General features: G+C 41.9%; 1 protein-coding gene across 20 annotated transcripts in view, besides 1 other annotated feature; it reads right to left on the bottom strand.

Annotated features, from left to right (window-relative positions):
• Positions 1–11,306, bottom strand: part of FTO (FTO alpha-ketoglutarate dependent dioxygenase) — a 417,979-nt gene that overhangs the window by 156,221 nt on the left and 250,452 nt on the right. For 3 of the 20 annotated variants that reach the window (NM_001363988.2, NM_001363896.2, XM_017023654.3), the window contains one exon: positions 8,932–9,038. The exons of the other annotated variants lie outside the window; for them this stretch is intronic. In NM_001363988.2, the coding sequence (NP_001350917.1) occupies positions 8,954–9,038 (85 nt within the window). In that variant the 3' untranslated portion in view covers positions 8,932–8,953. Of the gene's footprint in view, positions 1–8,931; positions 9,039–11,306 lie in introns of those variants that run through there. 20 annotated transcript variants of the gene reach the window in all.
• Positions 3,690–5,575: an enhancer, noted in NCBI's record as "VISTA enhancer hs156". NCBI's record gives its function as "enhancer in: branchial arch[4/5] | nose[4/5]" and the evidence as "EXISTENCE:transgenic organism evidence [ECO:0001131][PMID:17130149]".

The following is an 11,306-nucleotide window of genomic DNA, read 5'->3' as shown; positions in this document are numbered from 1 at the left end:
CTAGAAAACAGAGAGAAAAGAGAGAATGAGGGTAACTAAATATTTCACAGGTACAGCATGAGATAAATCAAGAGAACACAAGAAACTTTAGTTATAGTAAGCTGATGGTTCAGGAGGCACTTAGGCAGGGAGCAAGGAAGTTGAGATGTTGAGAATGCAATTTCTGCTGACACCTCTCCTCCATCCCCAGTACAGTTGCCCTTGGGTGGGGAAGGGTGATTACTTTTAAACAGAAAAGCTACCTACCCAAACATGCCACACAGTTAAATGATACTGCTACCCCTAGTGCCACTATAAATTCCCAAAAAGAATTTGATGTCACTAATCCCTACTATATGGAGCTAACATGATGGGACGTTTTATAAAAGGGGGTCATCCTAGCACTTTGGGAGGCCAAGGTGGGCGGATCACAAGGTCAGGAGTTCAAGACCAACCTGGCCAATATGGTGAAACCCCGTCTCTACTAAAAATACAAAAAAACAAGCCAGGCGTGGTGACGCATGCCTGTAGTCCCAGCTACTTGGGAGGCTGAGGCAGGAGAATCGCTTGAACCCAGGAGGCGGAGGTTGCAGTGAGCCGAGATCACGCCACTGCACTCCAGCCTGGGCAACAGAGGGAGACTCCATCTCAAAACAAAAAAAGGGCGGGGGGTTCATCACTACAGGAATGGAGTAACAAGGAAACTATTACAATTGTTAGGGTGAATGACTCATAAACTTTTTGCTGATTGTTGTTTGTTTTCAGGTTTTCCTCTTATAAAATGCTTATTGGGAAAAAAGCTTCATTATAATATAATTTGTGTTTACCACGATTTAGCTAGAAAATAATAATCTAATGTCTCATATGTATCCATAAAATGAAATCTTCATACTATTTTATCCTTTGAGCTGATATAAGGCTATAAGACAAGAAAACAAAGAATTCAGTATATGCCTTAACAATGTTGAGTAATAACCAATTCAATGATTCATTATTTTCTATGAAACTTAAATAATGAAGATTTGGAATACTGTTTCCATTATAGAAGCAGACTACATTCAAATTGCATCTTGAGAATTGATACCAAACATCTTTTGGGGATAAATTCACTGCAATTTGAAGTCTGGGAAGGCAACCAACACATTTAATGGAAAGAACATGGACACTTTTAGTATGTGCTTAAACAAGAGATTTAAAAAAATATTAAACCCCAGCCAATGAAAATGGTTTCAAGTTCTGCTGAGAGAACATCTCTCTCACCAGCAATTTACATGAACAACAAATGAAAAAAGAATACAACATATTGGTTGTGTTCTGGTTCCCTTAAACATAACCCTTCCTCCTGGCCTCAACTAGGGGTTGGTAAACTATGGCCTGACAGTCAAATCCTGCCACCTCTTTTAGTAAATAAAGTTTTACTGGAACACAGCCACACTTACTCATTTACATATTGTCCAGGGCTGTTTTTGAACTACAACAACAGAGGAGAACAGTTGTCACAGAAACTGTATGGCTCACAAAATCTGAGATATTTACTATCTGGCCTTTTAAAGAAAAAGTTTGCTGATCCCTGACCTGAACAAAGGCCTATAATTCACATGGGAAGGACCATATCAGCTCAACCCATTCTAAATTATCCACACTTAGGAAAACAGTTTTAAAGTTTAAATTTTAAGAAATACATTGGTAGGCCGGGCGCGGTGGCTCACACCTGTAATCCCAGCACTTTGGGAGGCCAAGGCAGGAGGATGACCTGAGGTCAGGAGCTTCAGACCAGCCTGGTCAACATGGTGAAACCCTGTCTCTACTAAAAATATAAAAATTAGCCAGGCATTGTGGCGGGTGCCTGTAATCCCAGCTACTTGGGAGGCTGAGGCAGGAGAATCACTTGAACCTGGGAGGCGGAGGCTGCAGTGAGCTAAGATCGTGCTACTGCACTCCAGCCTGGGAGACAGAGTGAGACTGGATAATTTATAAAGAAAAGAGGTTTAATTGGCTCATGGTTCTGCAGGCTGTACAGGATGCATGATGCTGGCATCCACTCAGCTTCTGGGGAGGCCTCAGGAAACTTACAATGGTGGAAGGCAAAGGGGAAGCAGGCACGTCACGTGGCCAGATCAGGAGCAAGGGTCGGGGCAGAGGTGGTACACACTTTTTAACAACCAGATCTCACAAGGGCTCACTCACTACACAGTACCAAGGGTGGACGGTGCTAAACCATTCATGAGAACTCTGTCCCACGATCCAAACACCTCCCACCAGGCTCCTCCTCCAACACTGGGGATTACAATTTGACATGAGATTTGGTCAGAGACACAGATCCAAATGATGTCAATCAGCTTGCATGCTGAGGTCTTCCCTATGTTCTCTGTGCTGTCCACACAAAAGAGGTCAATCTAGGCCCCAACAATAACACAAATATACAGAAAAGTAAGTCCAGGTAAGATTTGGAGAGAAGAGCTTACCACTCCTGCTTGAGAGACACAGAGACAGAAACATGGAGAATTAGTTCTGGGTCTGAAATGCACACATGCAGCTATTATACAGCAACTTTTACTTGTGTTATTATGGTATCATTAGGATCCTCAAATACCAAAGACAAGAATGAATGTGCATCTGAAGGACCGCTGGGAACAAGTTAATGTTTGCCTGTGACTATACTGTTTTAAAATACCTAAAACTTGTACATTTGGCAATTTCAGAAAATAGAATAAAGATTAGTCTTAGTTTAGTTTTGATGAAAATGCCAGTTTTTCCTATTGGATTTGAGCGTGGGAAAATAAATCTTCTAAACTTGATACTCTATACATAATCTACCCATCTCATATATAAACGAAAGACTAATGCTTCTTTCATTTTCTCAGTGGGGAAAGAAAATATACATTTCTCATGCTGAACTTTGCTGCAAATTACAGTAATTCAATTTTAGCAGATTTGAGTTGTTAAAAGAGCTTCTTTATTAAACAAAGGTTATGAATATCAGAAATAATGCAGACCAACATACATTCAGTATATTTGGGACCTCACAAACTATATGGACTTCAACTTGCAATCTAAATCCTCCACCACAGACACTAATGCTAGCCATTATCATTCAAATTACAGTTGTCTATGTCAAGAGAGAAAGCACTTATGCAGGACGCATCATTATCTGTGGACTGTCCCTAAATTTGGGGGCAGAATGATGAAACATAATAACAAAACCCCATGTCTCTCTTCTAGTACTTCGACGTTCAGGCCTCTCACATTTGCCTCTAATCAAAATATGGAGTACAACCAGCCTACTGTTTCCTAGTAGGGAGGTGACAAAGTCTTGGGGTTCTAGAGATGTATGTCCCTGTAATTGACAGAGCCCTGCTATGTCTGTCAGGTGTGGTCTTCAGGTAGAAATTAAAGTAACGTTATGATTGGGGTCAGTGTCTTCCCAAAGCATTAACATGAAAGCAAGCATAGTACTTCTACCACAAACCAGGCCTGAATTCTTATTCTGGGTCCTGTCTGGAGCCTTCACCACGAGCTCTGACCACAAGCTAAGCATACAAATGAATGCTGTAAAAGAAATGATCTTCTATGCAATCTACCACAGAAACAGAGGCCTCAGAGATTTCACTAAACTCTGAATATGGTTTATATTGAAAAGTCTAAAATAATCTCCCTAATTCTGGAAAGAGATCTGGTAAAAGGAGTTAACAGAAATTAGGAGATGGGCAGGGCAGTGAGGACTAGTGATTCGGATGCTTTGGGAGGCGGTGTACCTTGCATGTACCTGTTCTGATGGGTTCTCATTGAAGTGGTACTACCTGAGGTGTTCAAGGACTCCCAGTTAGAGCTGTGGATTCCAAAGGTGCCCGGTGGGAAGTCTTATTTCACACTGCCCACTTACCTAAGCGTATACTGTGCCAGAGACTTACTGATACCACCAAGTATCTGTCACTGAATCAGCCAGACTAGCGCAAATCACTGTCAATGTTGGTCATCATAACTGAATTCCCCAGGGTAGATCCCAACATATGCTGACTGAATTAGAAGCGAAAGTGTATTTTAAAAGAGATTTCAGGTAAAGCTGATAAATGCCTGGCCAGATCTGAAATTGAAATGTCTCTGATAATGATGAAACACAAGCCAGTGCATCTGGCTAGCTACATCTGTCTTCCCAGGCTTCAACAGAAGTTGGGATCTACCTTGGAAGAATGCACAATAGAACTCTCGTGAATTAGCTCAAAGAATTTAATACTTGTTGCAATTTTCTCCAATTTAGTATATGAAATAATAACATAGACAGCAATTACCATAAAGAAAAACTTCAGGTGCAACAGCATTAGTTCAACAGCTAGGATCAAGTGTCAGCCCACAATAACAAATTTCATTCATTTTATCTCCAGCACTGGAGACATGCTGCTACTAGCTTTAATAGTCAGGAATGTCTGCTGGCTAAATGACTCTGCAGAGCTAGTCAAGTGAGGGCAGCCTGCGACAGTTTAATTGGTCTGCTCGCTATAACTCTATCTGGGGGCTGTAAGCAGTGGACTATAAACAAGCACAAAGCTGCACTCGATGCAGAGCAGAACAGCCTGCAGGAGAGGGGAAAAAAAAAAAAGGAGAGCCTCTGATGGCAGGATCTCTCATTTACACTGGCGTCAGGTTGGCTACAGGTGAACTGGAGCAATGTAGGCACTGCAGCAGAAGAAAGGTGGGGTGAAGAGAGCAATCATTTATCTTGTATTGATTTCTGGACACCGTCCTAGATCCAGTCCAAGATAGAATGACAGTTTTCAGTTTTGTGCTTGCAAGAGACAAAAATGACGAGCACCAGTCCTCCTGTTTCTGATCATATTTCCTTTAGAAACCATGCCACCCATAGATTTTTTTTCGGACAGAGAAATCCAAACAAGTTTATCACTGAAAAAGAGGGTTAGGGGCTGGTTAATCAGCCATTTGTCTTTGCTCTGGATCTGGGAGTCAAGGGGTCAAAACCAAGCACAATTGGGCCCTTTGGTTTTATCTCAGGTAACCGCGCCCCCCCCACCCCCATTTCTGGTAATTGAACCCATTCCTTGTGGTCAGGGTTCCTGTCACTCATATTCAATGTCTGTCATTACTGAGAAATGCTTCATGTCATATTACACTGACAGAACCACTACAGCAAAGCTAGCAAGATTCCCCCAGCACCAGAGGTAAGACAATGGGAGCCTCTTTCAGACCAGTGATGTTTAACATTTTATGTGCTGACACTGTGTCTGTAAGCACAATACAATGAAAGTCTAGTAAATGGGAGATAAAAATTCATACTTTCCCTCCTTCAGGGGCTGCCAAGCACTATCAGAAATAAAACAAGTTGGCAGCTCCAACGATACCATTGCACCAGTGCCACGCACGGCAGGCATTTTCTAAGTGTAGTGAGTGGATTTATACACGGATACACTCACAGCTGGGCACACATGATCCCACTGGTTTTTTGATGTGGCTGTGTACAAAATACCCTTCCCCTGGCAGGGTGTGATTCACTGTCACAGGGTTAGTAACCTTAGACATCCAGCTCTTCTCTGAACGTATTTTGAGACTCTCAAACTATGTAAAGGAGAGAAGAGATGACCCCATTGCATCTTTAACAAAGTATGACTGTCATTCTGTTTGGAAGTCTCAAAAAATGAGTTTTGAGGCTGAGTGTGTCCCTGACAGGTTCAAAAATCCCCAAGTCCAGTCTTGAATACTGTTGACTCCTCATTTTCAAGGCTGTTCAACCAACCTGCTTTCCCATCCTTACGGTTCATCACTTCTTGCCATGCAGTTTACACACGAGTCTCCATGTTATTCACTCTCTATCACACTTTGCACCTTCATGCCCCTGGGCCTTTGCACATATCCATTCCATTTGGGAAGCCTTTTTTGGGCATCTTCCTCCTTCAGGACCCAGCTTGTACCCTACCTGCTCTATGGATGGGTGTTTGATTCCCTTCTTTTCACTATCTTCTTCATGGTTAAAAGCTTAGGCTCCAGAATTAGGCTGGGGTAGTTTGAATCCTTGGCCTGTCATTTAGGCAAGTTTGTAAACTCTCTGTGCCTCAGTTTCCTGAGCTGTACAGTACAGTTAACACCTCATATGGTTGTTGTGTGGATTAAATGAGATTACCCACAGTAACAGTTATAATGGTTACATGGTTACAAAAGTGTCCAGTACAAACACTCAATAAATGACAGTTATAATGACAATAATAATTATAATAATAATAAATAATATTATTATTAGCTACTACTGACATTCTCAAAGCACTCTGCTTACATCAGTAACAGGATGTTCCACTTTTCCTTGTTTTATAGTGACTGGTTTCCACTGTGCTCTTCCCACTTGGCATAGAGCTGTGGGCATCCACATCACCTGAGAATTTGTTAGGACTGCAACTATTCAAGCCCATTCAGGAAGGGCCTGCAATCTGTGTTTCACAAGCCCACAGGTGATTCTAATGCTAAAATTACAGAACCACTGGCCTAGAGCATGGGCTCTGGAACCAAACTTCCTGCTTGGGAATCCCAGCTCCCCTGCCTCCCAGCCTTGTGCCCCTGGGAAGGTTACTTGACATCTTTTGGCTCCACGTACCCTTTTCTTAAAATTAGAGATAATAAACATACCTACCATTGTAACAGTTAATTCACATAAAGCACTTAAAAAGTACTTGGCACAGAGAGGCACTTAATATGTACTAGTTAGTATTATTATTATTTAGGATTAAACACATTCATAATACATGCAAAGGATTTGGATGCTTTTGTAGGGGTTCAATGAGGATTTTAATTTTTAGTGGTATTCTTCTGAGTTTAAGCTTCCTGAGGGCAGAGACCCTGTCTTATTCACCCCCATCAGCTGCTGGAGCTGAACCCAGGCTTTGCTTTAAGCAGGCACTCTGAGAAAGGTTGGCTGCCTGGAGCTCCATGGTGAATCCACCGGCCTAGATGTCAGGCTGAGTATTTATTTGGGGTTGTGCTCTGTTGGCTGCAAGGCAGAGAAATGAGACAATTCACTTTGGCTTCGGCAGCTTTCCCGAGGCCACCAGCCTGTGGCCAATTGTCTTTTGCACAGATCTCTCCTTCCCAGTTCCCAGGCTGCTTCCACTCAAGGTCACACCCCCTAAGCCTGGTAACTTTGGATTTCAAAATCATTTTGACTTGATATTTTACAGGGAACATGGCAGGCTTAGTAAGCTTAATCTCGCTCTCTCTTTTTTATACACCGGGGGTGGGACACCTTTTAACCTATCTGACAAAGCTTTAAAAAAGCCTCTGCTTAGAAACAGACTGCAGCCTGAAGCAGAATGTAAAAGCCGGCCGCCAGCTTCCCAGGCTGCCCGCCGAAGTGTTCCCAAGCTTTCCACGCTGGAGGAGGCAACCCAGGAAGAGGCACAATCACTCAGCACTCCTCTGCCATAAGAAACTATACTCACAAGTTCATTTCCCTCTACATCCCTTTCTGGGGAAAATCAAAATTGGTCGAGGAAAAGTAACAGCTATCTAGCTAGTGGTTAACCTTCTCTAAGTGGGCCGATTCACTGATCTCTTAAAATGGCCACGCATGCCCTATACCAAGAGTATTAAAAAGCTGATTTTGCAGTCAAGGAATGGATTGACCTACTTGGGAAAAGTTGCTATTTTAGACAAGTGCCAGGACCATAACAAATAGTAAATGTGACCTGTTATTTTATTAGATGAAACCACACTACTATGTTCACTATAAATAATATAATTCATGTAGCTAGTCAATATCAAAACTATAAATATTCAGTCCATGAGGGTCTGCTATTTAAACAATAGAAGATAGGATTCCCCCAAATATATATTCATAAGTTTGCCACATTAGCGGTTAGCAGGAGGTGGTCTCTAAATGCCTAAAGAGGCATTGTTACTGATAGCAAAAAGAAGGTACTTTAAAAAAATTACATTCAACTCCAATGAATAAATAAATTCCATGTCTTGATGATCATTTCTACTATCATTCCTCCTAATACCAGGTTACTGATAATTTGAGATTTCTCCTACTGCCAGTAGTGGAAATTTAGGGAAGAAGAGATTTGAATAAGCTATCTTTTGATTCATGAGAACAACGTCAAGTAAATCCAGGTAACAGAGAAACTGAAATTAGAGTGGTATGAAAATAACTCATGTTTCTCTCCAAAGGCACTATCACTATCACATAGGGCATAATAATATTCAAATACAATGCCAGCAGTAGGGTCACAGACCCTATTCCACTACTACTGGACGAACCTTGGATAGGGTCTTAGATACTGACTAGATTCCCACAACGTCCAATGGTAATCATTTTCTAGCGTTCTACAATGAACCATGAAGAAATTCAGAGAGGACAGTTTCAGATCTCAAAGCAACACACTCTGAAGAATAAAAATGAATTATATTCACCAAGCCAAGTGGAGGAAGTGCGTTGCAAAGAGAGTTCTAATGCTGAAATATCACATTGCCAAATGTCCCTGTCAAATCGTGGTTTAATTACCTTGGCCTCCATGCCTCTTATAATCACCTGTCATTAGCAACAATGCTTGCATCTGTTTACACGTCTGTCAGAAATGCCAGCCCCGGGCAAGCCAGGGGATAAGAAAATTTTATTGGGATATGCCCTCAATTGAAAAAAGATCATCTTAAAGTTGACCTATCTATGCCCAGGCCAACCCTTAAAAAGATAATCTAAGGAAAGGATCCCTGAAGCAAACATCTACATATTATAGAAATACATTTTAAATAGGGTTGCCTTAGTTCTAAAACCAAAGTGGGACCAGGTGCGGTGGTTCATGCCTGTAATCCCGGCACTTTGGGAGGCCGAGGTGGGTGGATCACCTGACGTCGGGAGTTCGAGACCAGCCTGACCAACATGGAGAAACCCCGTCTCTACTAAAAATAAAAAAAAATTAGCCTGGCGTGGTGGCACACGCCTGTAATCCCAGCTACCTGGGAGGCTGAGGCAGGAGAATCACTTGAACCCGGGAGGTGGAGGTTGCAGTGAGCCAAGATTGTGCCATTGCACTCCAGCCTGGGCAACGAGAATGAAACTCCATCTAAAAAATAAAAAAGAAGAAAAAAAAAAAAGGAAAATTTAGATGTTTCATGACTGTATTATGCCTCCTTTTATAGCATTTCTGCTTGTCTGTGGGAAATACACCGGTGAGATGTGTTCTAATTGCAATAGTCTTCATGATCTTTTCATCCTGATGGTCTCCTGAACCTTACAAGGTAAGGAAGAAGTACCTACTTCTTCCACTAATTTTCCTCTTCTCCTCCAGTGACTAGATCTGCTTTCTTCATCACTTAGTAGCTGCCACTACCTGCTCGATTTGGAGAATTTTCTCCCAAAGACAGGCTTCATAATAGACCATCCACTCCCCAGAGCACTCTTTCCTCCCCACAGCCCTAAAAACAAGCACACAGATCCTCTTGGTTCTGACATTTAGCATATCAACGGCAAAACAGAGAAAGAGACAGGGAGAGAAATATCACAGGGATGCTCAAAGCCCGTCATATTTTTAGTTAGTGGTCAGTGATTTTTAGGTTCTCAGATGTTAAATGGTTTGAGCTGAAGTTTTGTCAATAGTTATCTTTAACTTTCTCTGAATTCAGTTTCATCATCTATAACATGGGGATGAAACCACTCACCTTTGTATGATTACTACAAGGAAAAAAATTAAAGATACACACAAACCATCAACACATAGGAGGTGCAAAATAGATTTTTTTTTCAATTTTTATTTAAAAATTTTTTTGTAGAGATGGGATCTGGCTATGTTGCCCAGACCGGTCTTGAACTCCTGGCTTCAAGCAATCCTCCCACCTTGGCCTTCCAAAGCCCTGGGATTACAATCATGAGCCATCACGCCCAGCCTCAATAGTTTTGAGCTCCAATTTTGATGCCCTCTTTCTCTCCATAAAGACTTCCCCAATTCACACTGACTACTTATTTCAAAGAGCTCATGATGTACTTATGGTCAATGTTATTTAACTTGGCATTTATCTCACAATCAATTATGTCTCTTTCCCAACAACTAAACTATAACCTTGATTAGAGGAACTGTGTTTTCCACAGCACCTAACACAGCACTGGCCACACAGTGGAAACTTTCCGTATACTTTGTAAATAGAATTTGGATTTATGTTTCATCTGTCAGCAAACTCCATGATGAAGTCTTTACTCCAACCCTAAAATGTGACCCCTCCTTCCTCTCTCATCCCATCTCACTTACTTCTCCCTCTGTCATATTGACTGGTTCCTTCTCTTCCCCCTCATCTCAGCTTAAATGAGGCTTCCCTAAAAAGTTCCATTCCCCTCCCCAATTGCCTACCTGTTGCCTTTCTCCATAGTGCATGTCATTATCTGACATCCTCTTTTTTACTTGCTTGCTTATTTTTAGTCAGCCTCCTGCCACTAGACTGTAAGCTCTACCAGCACAAGAAACAGGCTGTGGTTTTTTTGTTCACTCTTGTATACCCAGTTCCAGGGACACTGTTAGGTGTTCAGTAAATATTTGTGGAATAAATGAATAGCTCTTGGTTTTTTTCTTAACCATCCATCTTCATGCAACTGGATACTCAGATACAAATTAAGGACCCATATGGTCAATGCTAGACTCCAATGGCACTAATGCTTAAAGAATGCTTTATGGGATAAAACACTCCAGAAGTGGTCAAGCACTGACAGAAACAGGAGAAACTTTCTTACTGGTCTAATTAGAGACGGTGGTAACTTGGGTGAAATTAGGTTTCTGCTCTAAAAATAGAGGTCCACCAAAGAGTTGGGAATGAATCAGGTCTTCACAAAGCAGCTCTTCTTTTGCCAGTCCCATCTCTGCTACTCTAAATCATGCCACTCACTCTTGCTTCTGCTTGGCCACGTTTTCTCAGATCCATTCAGGCTCCTTAAACATTAGCGTCCATCTCCTTTGGCCCACTAACGACGTGAGCCTTCCTAACCAATGCCCCTGCTGCACCACTTCCGGCTCAACAGCCCATGGGCTCTACTGTGAAAGCTAAAGAGGGGCCAAGGTGAAAACCCTGCCACAGCTGAAACCGTCGTCTCTTTACTCTGCCTTCTAAAGTTCTGAAGATTTCACCCTTCTCTCTACCCTGCAGCCACACCAGCACCCTTCCTGAATGCATCCCCTGTGCACCCAGAGTTCTGCACCTAAGTTTTATGTCAGCCACTTCCCTTTGACCTTCTTTTCTCTTTGACTTTACTTACCCTTCATTGATTGGTATATGTTTAATGATAGTGACATCATGAACCCAAGTTTCAGGAATAGTCAAGGTACGCCATCTGCCTTAAATGACAAGGT

Source organism: Homo sapiens, chromosome 16 (genome assembly GCF_000001405.40).
Source record: "Homo sapiens chromosome 16, GRCh38.p14 Primary Assembly".
Lineage (NCBI taxonomy): Eukaryota > Metazoa > Chordata > Mammalia > Primates > Hominidae > Homo > Homo sapiens.
This window is presented reverse-complemented; position numbering and strand designations above follow the sequence as displayed.